Genomic DNA, 17,333 nt, shown 5'->3' on the forward strand with positions numbered 1-17,333 from the left:
AGAAGCGGTAAGCTATAAATATTTACCAAAAAATATTTGCACAAAGAGGTTAAAAATGTTAACTAATCACAACACCACGAACAGAAGAAAAACAACGATAAAGTGATTCCTCTAAAAAACAAACAAACAAAACAGAACACAAAAAGAAAGAGAGCGAGCAAGCTGTTGCACTCAGAGATGCCCTGTTGAGAGACGGAGAAGAAATATGGGCTGTCAAAGCTCAGACGCTGAAGAAAAAAAATTTAAAAAAATTAAGAGCACATTAAAACCTCACCAAGGAGGGCAGAGGGTCCTGCATTTCCCTGTTTCTTATGCTTCATCTCCTCCCTTTCGTGCCTGGTTGGACTTGGAGTTTAATACCAGAAGGGCTCCCTTGATTAAGCCTCCAACCCTCTGCTCCTCTCTCCCCTTCTTCCCTGTAATGAGGAAGCAAACTCACCATCATTGAATCTCACTCTGCCTTCCCCAGGCTGGTGCTGGGCAGTTGGACATGCTGATGACAATGAGTGGCTGGGCTGGAGGGTACTACTTAGGTCTACCTTCATGAACCTCGGATTGACAGCCACCCTCCGCAACCCCCAGACTCTGGTCCCAGGAAATCTCCACATCAGCTGGAGACTCGGCTCTGCCTCGGAGCCAGCCAGCCCAGTCCAGCCACCCCATAGTCTGACAGCCAACCCCTCCATAACTTACTTTTCCTAAAATGCCCAGTATTATCTGAACACCCCACCCCATCGTAGGGCCTCATTTCTTATTTCGAACACACAAAAACAAAAACAGAACCAATTGTAAGAGCCCTCCTCCCCACCACCAGGAGGTCATGCGCCCGCCTCCCTCTGCAGCCCCGTGCCCTGTGGTCCATTTTGGTAATTACTCTGTATAACTGTCTGCATGCCCCCATCTCCCTTGCACAGCAAATCCTGACCCTAATCACCTTCCAAGGACTTTGTTTCCATGGTGTCATCTCTCTCCAGCATTAATAGTCTTCCCTTCTCCTCTGGATCATTTTCTTTCTCTTTTTTTTTTTTTTTTGAGATGAAGTCTTGCCCTGTCACCCAGGCTAGAGTGCAGTGGTACAATCTTGGCTCACTGCAACCTCCGCTTCCCGGGTTCAAGTGATTCTCCTGTCTCAGCCTCCCGAGTAGCTGGGATTACAGGCATGTGCCACCACACCTGGCTAATTTTTGTATTTTTAGTAGAGACAGGGATTCGCCATGTTGGCCAGGCTGCTCTCGAACTCGTGACCTCAGGTGATCTACCCACCTCAGCTTCCCAGAGGGCTGGGATTACAGGCGTGACCCACCACGCCCAGCCTCTAAATCATTTTCATATGCACAACAGTGTATTCTAAAACCACTTATCTATTAATAAAAAAAAGTTTCCTGTCTCATCCTCCCTCCAGTTACTGACCCATTTCTCTGTTCCCCGTTAGAATAAAATTCTTTGAAAGCATTGTCTCTCTACTCCCTCTCCTAATAGATTCTTTCAAACTCACCCCATTCAATCACATTTTTGAAAGGCCACAATTGCTACATTCAGTTGTCAATTTAGGGCCTAATTCTCCTTGTCCTCTCAGAACTTGATTGTATCCTTTATACCCCAAAATGCTTCCTGTTCCTGACTTCAGGGTACCACAGCCCTCTGGTCCCCCTCCTGCCTCACTGCCAGCTTCTCCATCTCCTTCAGCGGACCCACTTCGTCGTTCCAGCCTCTGACTTTGGTTTCCCTTGGATTCCGTCCTCGGGCCTCTCTTCTCTATTTTTACTGTCTTCCTAGGTCGTCTCACCCCTTCTTACGTCCAGGCCTGAGTTTATATCACTCAATCCTTTCTTGTCTTTAAGCCCAGGAATCTTGTGTGCAAATGATCACTCCATATCTTCACTTGTATGAACAATAAGTTTTCTAAATTTAGCATGTTTAAAGCCAAAACCCTTGTATCTGTCCCACTTCAAATCCCCTCTTCTCCCACCGTTTCTCATTTCAGCAAGCTTCTTTCGGAATTTACCCAATTGCTAAAGCAAAAACCTTCAAATTTCCACGGGCACCACCTCCACTTCTTCAGGTCCGATCCATACCCAGCCATTGCCCAGAGAGTAACCAGAAATGTCCTTGGGCTCTGAGCCCTGGTGTTCATCTCTTACGGCAATGGCTGTCCGCCTCCCCCTGTGCAACCTCCCCTCAGCCATTCTCTATGCGGAGTCAACGCATCCAATTTTCCCCCTGCTTGAAACCTCGTCAGGGCTTCCTCATGTTGGGAGCAAGGTCCTGGTCCTGCTGTGGCTCGTGGCCCTGCACAGTCTCAACCCGGCAGCCCCCGGAAACCCACTTTTCAGTCGCATGCTGTGTCAGTGTTCGAACTGCTTTCGATGAGCTGGATACCAATGTTTCAATCTTAACAACAACAACCAGGCCTGCAAGTTGAACAATTTATATCTTGAGATCAAGATCAATGACTTAATTCTTCAATGTAGGCAAAGAGGTCGAGCAAATGCACCGTGTACGAGTCTAGGTGGGCGCGCCTGTACTTGTCACAAGAAGCAACACGAAGCTTTTGTTTAAATGAAGGTTCTTATCATAGTTCAAAGGCTTTCTGAAGAAATGAAACACAAACATGACAGAATTGAAATAAATATGGGTGACTGTGCAGAATCTCCATCGATACATGACAGACACAAAGAAGATAATGACAAGCTGGAAATATCATGCCATCGATAAACAGAACCTAGTCCTTGAAAAAAAAGGACTCGTCAAAATAATCTTGAAATTATAAAATGAGGTATGGGATTGTTTGAATGAAGGAGTCAAAAAATGAAAAATTGCCAGGCGCGGTGGCTCACGCCTGTAATCCCAGCACTTTGGGAGGCCGAGGCGGGCGGATCACGAGGTCAGGAGATCGAGACCATCCTGGCTGACACGGTGAAACCCCATCTCTACTAAAAATACAAAAAAATTAGCTGGGCGTGATGGCAGGTGCCTGTAGTCCCAGCTATCGGGAGGCTGAGGCAGGAGAATGGCATGAACCCAGGAGGTGGAGCTTGCAGTGAGCCGAGATCGCACCCACTGCACTCAAGCCTGGGTGACAGAGCAAGACTCCATCTCAAAAAAAAAGAAAAAAAGAGAATTAACTTACAACCATCTCCTTCTTATTATCCTGAGCCAGAAAGAGGTTTTCAACAGATGGAAATATTTGCACAAGAAAATGAGCTCCAAATAAAGACTTACTGGCTTTGTTGTTGTTGTTAAGATCGAAACACTGGTATCCCAGCTCATTGAAAACAATTTAATCACTAACACATCGAAAATAATTTTTGTACTAATGGATACAAAAATACAGTTAGATGAAAGGAATAAGTTCAAGCCTTGGATAGCACAGTAGGGTGACTATAATTAACAAAAACATATGGCATATTTCAAAATAGCTGGTAGATAAGTTCTGGAATGTTCCCAGCACAAAGAAATGATAAGTGTTTGAGGTGATGGCTATCCTAATTACCTTTATTTGGTCATCACATATTATATGCATACACTAAGCATCTTACGTACCCCATAAACATGTATAATTATTATGTGTCAATAAAAAAAGAAAATGAACTCAAGATTCAATCATGAAACCAATGATAAAAAATAACTTTCAATGATTTTATTTTAAAGAAATACCTTTAAATGAATTTTATTATATGTAGTGTTCATTTTATTTTAAGTATTTTAATCTCATTTTCTGCTGATCATTAATAGGACAGCATTATGCGATTACCTTCCTATATTTTAAAAAATACTTATTTCAGTTGATATCATGTAACATGTTTACCATTCTGGTCTTTGAAACATACCATTTAGTTTAGTTATTGCGTTACTTTGTTTATCATTTAGTTTTTTTAGTGCATTTTGAATACTTATATGAAATACCTTCCTTTGGGCCTTCTATAAAATAAATACCCACCAGTCTGTGTGTTGCTTCTCGGCAGCCTCCCCACCCTCACCCCATCCTGGCAGCCCTGGTCCCTGAAGTGGCTGGGCCACCTCATGCCGGTGCATTCCTGCCCCAGCCCTGCCTTGGTGCCTGGCCTCTGTTACTCCAGAATCTCGGTTCCCAGGTTTCTGCCACATGTTATCATCTCAGAGAAGCTTTTTGATCATCCCTTCTAAAGAGGTTTCCTATCATTCTCTCCTCGTGTCTTGATTCACTTGTCTTAACAGAATTAATCAACCATAATTTATATAAATTTACATTGTTGCTCATGGACTGTCCCCGTCATTAAAAGGAATCACCATCCAAGCAGGGGCTGCCAGGGTCAGGGTGGCTCACACTCCACCCACCATGATAGACTAGGAGTCGGCACAGAGGAAAATAGGATGTGCACCCACAAATTAAATAAATGTGCAATACCCCAAAAATCACCAGGGACATGGAGAGAAGGAAAAACAAAATGGAAAAACCAAAGAGTTTAGAAACAGACAGAAAATCACGGACGTGAAGCTCCAACATATACATAAGTGGTGTTCCTCAACAAAGAAAATCCAGATAATATCCTAGCAAACATGTTTAAAGAAATAACTAAAAATGTTATTCTAGACACTAAGGGATTATTTTTTCTATATATTGAAAGAGCACACCATAGTCCAGGAAAAATTTAAAAAACATATTGGTATCAAACAACTCCTCACTGAAACATACCATAATAAACAGAGGTCATTGAATTTTTAAATAATCAATTTATGAAAATGCATGCTAAAACATTAAGCCATCTATAAAGGTTAAGAAATCCATTTGCCTAAGATTTCTCAACTGTCATATTCAACAAAACAAAAACGAATCCCTCAAAGAAAGAGAGCAAGACTAAGAATTTAATATCCAGCTAACCTCTATCAATATAGAAGCAACAGACACATATTTGAACCTGCAGGACCTATGGCTATTTGACACACAACAGAGCAGATTTTGCACATTACTGGGTGAAGGACACACCAGTCAACAAATTGTGCTAATTCAACTCATAACTATAGGAAAAAATAGACCAGATCTCTACCTCAGTCCAAGTACACAGATGATTTAAACACTGAAATGCAAATGAAAAAATGTAAACATTTTAGAAGAAAATATCAGAAAACGCTTTGGAAAGGTTTTTGAAATAAATAACAGTACAAACCATAAAAGAACTTCTTTTCATCAAAATTCACCACGAAAGTGGCAAATTCAACTAATAAAATATATCTGCAATTCCTGTGGCTGATAGAGAATTGAAAATTAAAATATAAAACAAAAATAACGTTTCAATAATTAATAGTTTAAAACACACCCAATAGGCAACATGGTTCAAAACCTTTTCACAGAAGTGAAAATTAAAAGGCCAGTTAAAGTATAAATAATGCATCTGATTAATAATCACGAAAATAAGAATTAAAAATAAAATATATATCTCAAGCCAAAAAGATTGACACAGTTTTTAAAGATCTGTAGACAAATAGGTGAAACACTGAGACTGCTTAACTATTGCTTTTTCCAAACACTTCGGTAGTAAGAAATAATTAGGCTTCATTTTATAAAAGCTAAAGGTATTCATCACCTATGACCCAGCAAAACTCTGTCTAATTATATACCCCAGAACAACAGAAAAACAAGAAATAATCAAAACACAGCAATGTAGATGGACACAGCAGGAACCAGGCACAGAATATTCACAGCAGCATTGTTGGTAGCAAAAGACTTGGAACCGACCCAAATGTCAACAGGGGAGCGAGTGAGTGGGCTGTGATAAAAAGACTCTGTGACTTTATTCCATGTCACAAGGACACTGAGCAAAGCGCGGCCACGGCCATCTCCATGGAGGGCTCTTCGACCTTCACGGCTGAGTGACAACCGCAAATCAGAGACAATTGCAGAAACACTGCTACCATTTGGATAAAACTCACAAACAAGAAAGACTAAGCAATCCATTGCTTTGGGATAGACACCAATTTTGTAAAATAATAAAGGAAATCAAGAGAACGGTAAAGCAAAATCAGATCAGGTGGCACCTTAGTGGGGTGGAAAGTGCGCATGAATTGGCACTCCAGCATGTTCTGTTTTCTAAGAGGTGAGTGTATGGGCGCTGATTTTATTATAAATATTTATAATGTGTCATTCTGAGGAGCCAAAAAATTGTATTTAAACAGTACAGGAAGATAAGATGAAAGAAAATATTCTATGTATGCATTAGGAACATAAAGCTATAAAACTGTGTAAGAATAAACCAAAATAGCAATGTCCAATATTATGTGAAGAAGAATATTGAACAGGACTCAGGAGTTCACCCCAAGATCTCTGAACGAATGGGAAGTCTCACCATGGTTCTGGAGAGGCAGCCTGCCCACATCCAGAAGCCAACGCTTCCCTAAGTGATGTGTGAATATACATGGGTCTGAATAATGTATAGGATCCCAATTATGAGTGTATATTTATTTAAACCTCCAGTGTGTGTGTGAGAGATTCTCAAGCTGAACTTCACATGCAAACCAGCAAGAGTATTGTCAACAAAGAGTCAAACTCTGTAAAATGTTTAAAGAGGTTTATTCTGAGCCAAATATGAGTGACCATGGCCCATAACTCAGCCCTCAGGAGACCCTGAGAACATGGGCCGAGGGTGGTCTGGATGCAGCTTGTTTTTTATAAGTTTTAGGGAGGCATGAGATATCCATCAAATATACTCAAGATGCACATTGGCCCGGTCCAGAAAGATGGGACAACTTGAAGCAGGGGGTGGGGAGGGGGCTTCCAGGTCTTAGGTAGATTTAAAAATTTTCTGATTGGCAATTGGTTGAAAGAGTTATTATCTGTAGAAAGGAATGGGTTACAATAAGAGGCTGTGGAGACCAAAGTTCTGTCAGGCAGATGAAGCCTCCAGGTATTAGACTTCAGAGGGAATAGATTGTAAGTGTTTCTTATCAGATTTGAGGTCTGTGTTGATGTTAACGCTGGAGGGCTGTAATGAGGCATGTCCCACCCCCACTTCCCATCATGGGCTGAGCTTGTCTTTTAGGTGGAACTGTAGCCTGCCCTGGCCACGGGGGAAGTCCATTCAGATGGCTGGGGGGCCTTAGAATTTTATGTTTGGTTTACAGTATCCAAGAGAGAGATGTTATGAAAAGAGTATGGAATGGGAATTTATACTACTTACCAAGTATTATCACATACAGCTATGCTAATGAAAGCAGTGTGTATTGGAATATAAACTGATCCATCGATCAGATCAAATGGAAGCTATGGAAACAGGCCCGAGTGCATACAGGAGCTTAACCTGCAATAAAAGCATCATTTCAAAATGGGGGTGGGGGAGACAGAAAATTCAATAAATGTGTTGAGAGACAGTGTAGCTGTTTGTAAAATAATAATGATATTGGATTTTTACCTTACTACTCACAACATAAATCTCAATGGATTGATTAACAATAAAAAGAAAGAAAAAAGAAAGAAAGAAGGAAAGAAAGAAAGAAGGAAAGATAAAAGAAAGCAGGAAAGAAAGAAAGGAGAAAGAAAGAAAGAAGGAAAGAAAGAAAGAAAGAAAGAAAGAAAGAAAGAAAGAAAGAAAGAAAGAAAGAAAGAAAGAATGAATACAGAGGTCCTGAAGCAGAGACTGCTGGTGTCCTGCCCGACACCCTTTCCTAGGCTGGGGCATTCCCCGAGAGTTCTCCTTGTCTTCAGGGACCCAGAGGCCCTGGCGGGGCCTGTGGCCTGTGGCATATGGAGGCGGGAAAGCAGCGTGCCCCTTTGCTGCTGGGCTGCATGGAATTTGGCACCACTCACACAACAGGTGCCCTGAGAGCAGACAGAGCCTCCACTTCTCCGGAGACCACACCCCTGCAGCTCCTCCCTGGCCACTCGGCCTCCTCAAGCTCCAGCAGCGAGTCACAAATTCACACCTCAATTACTGCACTCCCTTGCCTGGACCTCCGGACAAATTCACACCTCAATTACTGCACTCCCTTGCCTGGACCTCCGGGTCAAATTCCACTCCTTAGTGATTTGGCCTAATACAAGCAAGAAAAGAAAGCAGAGACAATTTTAGAAATAATTGTAGAATAAGGGAGCGTCTCGCAAGAGACTCAAATTAAAAGCAGATTTTAAAACATTAAATTCTACTAAAATTTTAAGTAGAATGTCAACAACATAACCTAAAGAAAGCCAATGGAGAAAAATTAAACTCTAAAATACAGGTACACATGATAAATTTCTATATATCAATATTGATAAAACACATATGAGGAATAATTTTCTTAAAATGTAAAGACAGTTATCAAATCATTTTAAAAATTTATAGAGTTAAAAAATATACATAAAGGTTTCATGAAAAGAGGAAATATAAATGCCACTTAAACAAATACAATTTCTCAGTTGTGTACCAAGAATCATAAAAATTAAAACCCCAATAACATATTGTTTTAAACTAGTCAGATTGGGAGGCCAAAAAAAAAAAAAAGAAACAAAAACTAAAAAGCAAACACCACGGGCATCTCACCAGGTTGACTCTGGGTTGGTAAACAGTTACTCTTGTAAATTACAGAGGAGAATGTAGTTTTATGACCAGTTTGAATGACAATTTGGCAATACGTTCAAAATTACTGGTAAGTGTCTAACCTTTGACTCAGCAATTCTGATTCTAGGAATGTATTCCGCAAACATTCTAATACTTGTGTCAAATATATGATCTGTGATGTTCATTGCAGCACAGTTTATAACAGCAAAAATTGGAAAAAAAAATGAATGTCTGTACATGGTGGGGAGACTGGTTACATAAATTACAATATAGCTCTACAATAAAATGCTATGTAGTCATTAATGTTTTAAAAAACAGCACCATATTTACCAAGAAGGAAAAAATCCTCAATAAATTCTAACCGCAAGAGTGAGGTGCACACCAACGTGTACATGATGAGGCCAGCGTCTGAGTTACAAGGGGAAGCCTGCGTGTGACTGTGTGGTTTTTGAGTTACAAGGGGAAGCCTGCGTGGGACAGTCTGGTTTTTGAGTTACAAGGGGAAGGCTGCGTGTGACGGTGTGGTTTTTGAGTTACAAGGGGAAGCCTGTGTGTGATGGCGTGTTTGTGCATGCTCACACATGCCAGAAGACCCGGAGAACTGGCAGTGTGCGGTCTCCACAGAGAAGAATTTGGAGGCTGGGGCTGAGGCAGGAGGGAGGTTTGAACTGGCTACAGTGATCTCCTCTGCGTGTGAGTGCTGGTTTAAACGGACTGTGTTCTTTCTCCTTCTGGATAACAGGTGTCCTCTCCTCTGCCTGGGGTCTCAGGGGACCCTCCCTCACAGCTCTCAGTCTGCATGGGTCCCCCAACCCCTCTCTTCTCTATGGCTCTCGAGGTCAACGAGGGCTGGAGTCCTGCTGCCCAGTTCTCATCTGACGGGGACGATAACTCACATTCGATGACCATTTATCGTGGCCAGGCTCTTTAATGTGTTTTACTACTGTTATCATCACCATCTCCATTAAACACAACATCACCAATCTCATTGCACAGATAAGGGAAATAAAGCCTAAAGAAATTAACCAAGTGATCCAAAGTCACCAAGAGTAAACGTGTGGAGCAGGATGCCATCTGGTCTTCCTGGAGGTCAGTCTGCGAGGCCACCTAGATGGTCCTTCAAACCGCAGGACAGCAGCTCACGCTGTGGGGTGGAGGGGGCTACTCTTAAACTTCCAGCCTCCCAGGAACAGGTTTCCGCCCTTCTTGTATTTTGACAGTAATCCCCCTTTTCATGGCTCTAGCCAGCTGGGCCTCCAAGAGCTGACCAGCAAAGGATATGCTCCTTCCTGGAGCAGGCATGAAAGCCAACAGCTCAGAGAATAACAGGGACCAGACCATGGAGGCCAGGGTCCGTCACTCATGCAGAGCGGGAGAGGCAGCTGATGGCCGGGCCCCAGGACCAGGCAGAGCCGCCTCTCAGAGGTGCAGGTTGGCAGTGAATACAGAGTAACAGCTGAGGGTGCGGAGGTGTGTGCAGGTCACTATCCTCGCCCCAGCTACCTCTGGCCCTAGAGGCCTGGACTAGAAGAAGCCGGAAGGAAGTGGGGCAGTAGTTGAGGCCCCTGAAACCTCCCCAGGATCCACATTCATCCTCTGGGCATCTTTGCGGTGAGTTAAGGCCCAGGAGCCATGGTTCCTGGTGACCAGGGCACAAAGACATCAGGCTGAACAGGTCCTTCATCTGGGGGGCCTGTGGTCCCCGAAATGCATCTTAGACACTTTGCACAGGTGTGCGTCTCTATCCTGGCTGCTGTGTGAGCTGAGGACAAAATCCTGGCTGCTGTGGGAGCTGAGCCTGTGGGCAGGCTGAGCCAGGGGTGGGAGTGAGAGGGAGGGGTGAGAGGGGCCTGAGCACCTACTCAGCGCATGCTTCACAGAACTAGCCTGCTCCAGGAAGTTCCGGTGCCCAGTGCCACAATGCACACTCCAGCCCTGTGCCTGCACACCAGACCCCGGGCCCGCTCCACATGGGTGCCTTGAGCTGATTCCCTCTGCTGGAGTTGCTGAAGGGTTCTGCAGGCCTCAATCTACAGTCAGCCCCCAACCCTGTCATCAGCAGGGGCCCCAGCTTACAGCAACGCAGCTGTTTTCACTGCAGGCTAACTCTGCCACAGCGTTGCCAACCTGAAACATCCAGCCCAGAGTGAGTTTTTGGGGAGGCGGGAGGCTGTCCAAGCATCTTACCTGCTGTGTGGGCAAGAAGCGGCCTGCATCTCATCAGAGTTTGGGGATCCAGGACCCAGATCTGCTGCTCCGCAGTTGTGTGACCTTGGGAAGGTCAGGTCCCACCCTGGGTGTGCTCTTCTTTCCTGAAGATTCAATCCGGCCTGTGTGCTAGGAGTGGAGGGCCTGCTGGAGTCTGAGGAAGATGGCAGCTGGGTCGGTAGCAGGGTGAGCAGGGTCTGAGTGGGGCCAGGCTTCCCACACTGGACAATGATGTCCACTGTAAAGCCCATGTCCTGGATTTTTGACAAACATCTTAGCAATCGACCTGACACTCCACTATGTCCAAGTTGATTTGTTTCCATGCTGGACATGTGTCTACCAGGACGTGCTCTTGGCTGCCACTGGCAGGGCCTGGAATGAGGACACTTGTTGTGCACCTTGCTTTGGAGCCCCAGACAGGCAAAAAAATATCCATGTGGCTTCACCCAGGTCATCTCTTTGCTTGTATGAACCTCAGGCCACCCTTAGAAAGGGTCTCATAGCCCCGGTGTCTCACTCTCTGACCTTTGCCAAGTCGTCTTCAGCAGCAGCTGGAACTCTTTGAAGTGGCTGCCACAGATGTTGGCAAAGCCCGGCCTGGGATGCCTCCACCCTGCACCAGGCACGGGGCTGCCTCTGCTGCATATTCACCTGGAAATCATCCACATGCCAAGCACCGCAGAGGCAAGGGGAGTCTGCCATTGGACTGCGTTCAACACGGCTGCAGGGATACAGACAAGCACATTCCCTGGCAGAGGCACGGGCCCGGCTGGCTGGAGCTGCAGCAGCTGTGTGTGGTCACAGAGCTTCCAAATGAGGGAGATGGATGGCCTCGCTTCACAGTGTGCCCAGAGCATGTCCACGGTGCCTGGGAAGACCAGGGACTCACCATGCCCGGCTCTGGTTTCCCTCACAGTGAAGCCTCCTTGCTGGTAGGATCCATGGCCAAGCATGGGGGCAGGGGCTGGGGGAGCTCTGTCAGTGACTTCTCGCAGGCAGCAAGGCCTCTGGGAGCTGGCCAGGAAAACAGAAACTCCATCCTGGAGCAGGTGCGCAAACCAACAGCTCAGAAATTAACAAGGTTCCCACCAAGGACCATGAGCCACCTGTGCTGTCCTGTTTGTTCTGGTACTTGCGCAGGACACGGGGTGGGGGGCGGGGGAAGCACATGTCAACAGGGAGCTGGTGGCCGCTCTGAGAGCCAGCTCCTTTCTCATAACTTGCTTGAAATCCTTCTCTTTGCAGAAGATGGAACCCAGCACATCTCGAGAGCCCACTGCACAGGTCAGGTGCATTTATGTTTACTGTTTCTATCAGCAAAAGAGCAAAACCAAAATCAAACAAACGAAGACTCTGGCAAGATTGCTTGATCCTGCCTTGAGGTGAGCACACAGCAGCATCGGGAAAGTGCGTAACTCATAAAGATGGTGCAGCCTGCAGGTCAGGAGGGGCTGGGGTCTGTCGAGGGCAGCTGGGGCTTTGCAGCCTGATCCACAACACTGCACTCAGAGCGGGGAGGTGCTGTCTCCAGGCCCACCTGTGACTCCTGAGGTACAGGCAGAGGGTCGGGCGTGTATGACACTGCATAGGAGTCCTCTCCGCAGTGTGGAACCCACCCACGTCGCCTGCTCCCTCAGTCCCCAAATGCATCTGGGGTCTGAGATCAGAAACAGCAGAAGCTCTGGTGGTTAGTGGAATAGTTACCTAAGTGGACCCTCATCTCCTGGGCATTCTTTGAGCACCTCCCTGCTAGGCACTGTTTCAGGGGCTGGTGACGGGAAGCCCACCTTGCCCATGAGGCTCTTTCGGCACAGAGGTGGACACTGAGGGACCGCTGGCTCACACGCATGTTGAAATATGTGCTCAGCTGATGTCTTCCCAAGTGAGCCCTCCTGCAGGACAGGACCACACAGTGTCCTCAAAAAGCGCCCCAGGTTAGTGTGAGCTGGGCAATGCTGCCTGGGACGTCCCTGCTGGAGGCTCCTGGTGTGTGTAGGACCAAAGACGCTTGCTTCATTGGATTTAGCCAGCATTTCCCTGGTGTATTTGGCCATAAAAGACCCCCACTCACTTACCCACCACACCTTTAACCCTCTGTGGTAGACACCTGTAGCCGCAAACCCATTATCTATTCTCTCTTCTTTCTGGGTAAAATAACCTTGATTTTTTTTTTTCCCCAGGGGCAATATGTATACAGCAAAAAGTATACTTTGCAAATTCTCTTGCAGGAAGGAATGGCAAACAACATAATTCTATCTAATGAGATGTTCAAAGACATCTTCTGGTGCTTCTTGAAAGACTTGATTTCTTCACATAGATGCAATGTCTTCCCTGTGGTTTCTTCTTCTATCTGCTGGGGACATGGGTGTGATCCCTGGAGCTGCAGCAGCCATTTGTTAACCCTGAGGAAAAGACTCAGAAAAATCCAAGACCTTGGCTCTACTATCTTTGGGCCATTGAACCAGAGGTAGCAAGTCGCATTTCTCCTTAAATGATAATAAAACCCCCCCTTGATTTAAGCCACTGTTTTTTGAGACTCTTATTTATTTACAACTAGATGTCATTCCTGACCAGTACTGGAAATAACTTTGTTCAACCTATAGAACATACTTTGGAGACTATATGACACGTGAGCTGGTTTTAGATCCATTCTGTCTCTCTTGAGAAGTGAGCATGACTATCTCCATCTTTAAATCAGGCGTTCACGATTAGAGGGATTAGCTCTCTCTCCTGGGGTCGCACTGCTTGTTAATAGTAAAGCCAGAATTCTAACCCAGTCTCATCCGACTCCTGTGTACTTGTAATTGAGAACTGAATACAGGGAGTTGAGAATGCAGAAGCAAAACATAAATTTTACAAGAGAGTGTAGTGGAGGGCAGGCTTCCTGGAGCTGTGGTTTGCAGTTGGTCCGTGTTTGGTTGGCACTGTGATGCTGCCTACCCCAGAGGGACGATGGCTCCACACGATCAATAGGTAAATGGTGTTGCTTTTAATGATACCATTGTCAGTTCCCCGGGGTGCCCTCCTTATGTGGCTCCATCCTGGTGTAAATGAATACCAATGCACAGCCAAGGTTCAACAGGCTGTGTGGGGAATAGCAGCAGAGAAATAAGGAAAAGAGAACCTGAGGACTGCCTGGGAGTGTTCAGGCCCACTCTGCGTCCAGCACAGGGCCCTGGTGTGTTACCACCTTTTCAGATGACTTGGAGAAAGAATGAGCTGCTGTGATTTCACACACTCCGCATCCACACCGGGGTCACCATGTTTTTGGCAGACCTGGGGCACCTGGCCCTTGGTGGTGGACCTGTTCTTGCTGGGGGATGAGCCTCAGCTCCCTGAAGATGGGCTGGTTCCTCCTGCTCACAGTGTCCCCTGGCTGTGCTACACGGCCTCGTGCTGGACACAGGGACTGGCTGTGGTGTGAGTGAGGAATGGAGGATTGGCCTTCAGGCGCCATCGTTTCTGTTGCTTGAAGGTATTGAGTTCTTTTCAAAACATCCCTGCTTATTTGTTCAGATGGGAACACGGAAGGGAGGCAAACTACCTTCTTTTAGCAAAGAGACAAGACAGCAGGTGGAAGACACTGAGAACATTGGCGAGACTCCTGGGCTACTCCCTGCAGGGAGATGCAGGAGCAGCTTTAAGGGAATGAGAGAAGGGAGATGTGGAGGGACCTGCAGGAGGTGGGTAGGGCAGAGAGAGAGGAGCTGGGGGTGGAGAAAACCCTCAGGCCCAGGAGCTACATGAGCATGGTCCCTTTCTTGTGGGGTCGCCGGCCAGATGGAGACTCTGAGATGGCCATGGATGTTGTTTTGGAAGAATGAATCTACTCCCACATTTTCATGCAGTCTCAGGGTATTGAAGACTCAGTCCATGGATGGGCTGGTCAGGAAATCCTGCAACTCGGGGTTGCTGTGGCTCCCAGGTATGCCCTCCTCCCCAGGTACAAACTCCTCCCAAACAGCAACTCCTGCACCCGCATCTTCTGGGTCAGCTGTGGGTATGGGATCCCCTTCTGCCGAGGCTGAGGGCCCTACCCCTGTCATAGCCCGATGGTCTGATTCTACCCCCCCCAGTCACCCAGCCCTGTGGCTTTTCAGCACCCCTGCCTGTTCTGGGCACTGAAGGGCACTTTCCGGTGTGTCTGGAGATGTGGCAAGTGGCTGGTTGATCAATTTCTGCTTTCTGGGTTAGTCTTAACCTGTTAGGGGTTTCAGCTGGATGTGTGTCTCTGGGAGTCGGGGGTGAGAGGCATCCTGATGTGGCCTGAGGGATGGTTCTGTGAGGTACTCAGGGTTTGATTGCACTGTGCTGTGGTTTTCCAACATGACAGTCCATGAGCTGGATCGGGAGTTTCGATTCTTTTGTCTCTCAAGAAAGGAGAATAATGCCTCTGTTCCTGGTGAAAATAAGATGACTTAGTATACAGAATGGCCTTGCACAGAGATCGCATGCGGTAGGTGGTCATGGTTACTGAAGTCCATTAAGTCACTGGGCAGTGTAGACGCCAGGCCCACAGCCAGCCCCTCTGTGTAGTCTCCTGATTCAGTCCCCCAAGCCCTTTGCAGTTCCCCAAACTCTGCCAGTCACAGCTGGCTAGCCCAGCCTGCGCCCTGCTGCTCCTGGGGCCAAGTGGCTGTCCTCATAAACCTCTGCTGGGGAAAGCATCTCAGAGGTCTTCAAACTCAGCCTCCAGCCCAGCTCTGTCCAGTACGGATCCCTTCATACTTCTGCCCTATGATCCGCACATCCTCTCTTCTGTATCCACAGAACTGACCCTCCTCCATCCCCTAGCAGGTGCCTCAGGGACCCCACAACATCATAAGGACCCATTAGGCATTAGATGCCGAGTCCATGGTTCTTTTGCCTGTTTTCTCACTGGGCTGGAGTCTCCAGGCTTGCCCAGCTGCTGCCCCTCCTCTGCCACCCCAGGCCCCCAGCCAGTCTTTGGGAGGGTAGAGTGGGCTGTGGACAAGCCCTCCAGGCTCAGTGTTCCTCATGGGGCAGATTCTTTCACTTACAACCTTCGTAAAGGCAGCTGCAGGCTTTCCTCCTGTAACTGATCTCCAGGCAATTATAAGAGTAAAAAGTGTGGTTTTACCTTATTAGGTTACTTCTATTTTCAGCATGTACCCAAAAATGCACCACGGCACTGTCAGGCGTGGGTTGTCCCTGACAAGGAGCCTGTGGGGACCATGAACCTTGGCAGAATCTGCCCCCACCCCCTGACGCCCACAGGCACGCCCGGTAAGCTGAGAAGGCCGCCTTCCCTTCCTGCCTCCCTCCTGCCTCCTTTCTGTTGCTCACCTGAGTGGCTTCCCTGGGATTCTGCAGCCCTGGCTGGTCCCTGAGTCTTGCTGGGTTTCCTGCAGCCCCTCAGGGGCCAGCGTTGCATGCGGCGGGGCCTGGGAGTCAGCTATCTAGGTCTGCTCTATCCAACTTAGTAGCCCTTGACCAGGTGGGACTGGTTACCTTCAGATTAACAGCAACTAAACAAAGTTAACAATTCAGTTCTCCCAGTCAAAGTTTAGGATGATGGCTCCTTTACTGGGCAGTGTGGACATAAAGCACACCTATCATCACAGGGGCTGTCTAGAGCAGAGGCTGTCAGGGAGCCGGTGGAGGTCGGGGGACACCTGAGCACACCTGCACCAGGTGGGGTGGCCTCACTCTGGAGGCTCTAAGCCTGAGGCATCCACATGTGCCCCCCAGGAACCCCTTCTCTTAATGGAGGCCCCCAGCTGCCTCACCCCTAAGGACAGGATGAGTCCAGTGAGGGGGAGGAGAGGCACTCCGTGCTCCACCGGAGGACTTGAGTGCAGGAGGTGCCGTGGAAACCCACAGACTTCCCCGGGGGCAGCGCAGCAGATGGCAGGTGGAGAGGCTCCTGTGGCAGAGGGTGCTGGAAAGGATGCCTGGAAGTGAGCCAGCTACAGACAGAGGAAGCAGGTCCTGACAGGGGACTGCAAGGTTCAAAAGCCCAGCAGTGTCCAGGAGGAGGAGGAGGATCTGGCAGCTGGGAACATGTCCCACTGGCTGTGGGTCGGAGGATGGGAGATGGAGCCGGAAAGTCAGCAGAGACCAGATCTGGAAAGGACATTCTAAGAGCACGCATGGGCCTTACTCTTGAGAACCCCTGGATGCCAGCACCATCCTCCCAGCAATTCACCTGCATGTGCCAAATTTCTGACGCCTGTACCCAGCAGGTCTCCTCTCAGATTTAAGAATGATCAGATCTGAGAGCACAGCCCACAAAGCCAGTGTCTGTGTGCTGAGCATGGCCCACGCCCCCAACCAACCAACGACACACACACACACACACACACACACACACACACACAGCATGTGGTCTGTGTGCAGAGCACACGCGGTTAAAGCCAACCTAAGCCTCCTCGCTGCCCCGCCCGTTCTGCAGGATGGGGATGACTTTCCCTGCTGCTCCGCCTCCCGAAAAATCCCACTCGCAAACACTCAAGCCCCGGAGCCATCATCATCATTCTGATATTTGATGATCTTTAACTACAAATGCTCAATAAATGTTTTTTGAATAACCAAGTGGAGAAATAGAATGATGTTTCCATTTTTATTGCTGAGCATGAGCTCAGCAGGTGTAAT

The 17,333-nt window shown here is 47.2% G+C and overlaps 1 annotated feature.

The window, feature by feature from the left end:
- Window positions 15,733-16,465: an enhancer, noted in NCBI's record as "H3K4me1 hESC enhancer chr22:48541592-48542324 (GRCh37/hg19 assembly coordinates)". NCBI's record gives its function as "activates a minimal SCP1, AML or CMV promoter by ChIP-STARR-seq in naive H9 embryonic stem cells {active_cell/tissue: H9 hESC(naive)}" and the evidence as "EXISTENCE:reporter gene assay evidence [ECO:0000049][PMID:30033119]".

Source organism: Homo sapiens, chromosome 22, assembly GCF_000001405.40.
Source record: "Homo sapiens chromosome 22, GRCh38.p14 Primary Assembly".
NCBI classification, from domain to species: Eukaryota; Metazoa; Chordata; class Mammalia; order Primates; family Hominidae; genus Homo; species Homo sapiens.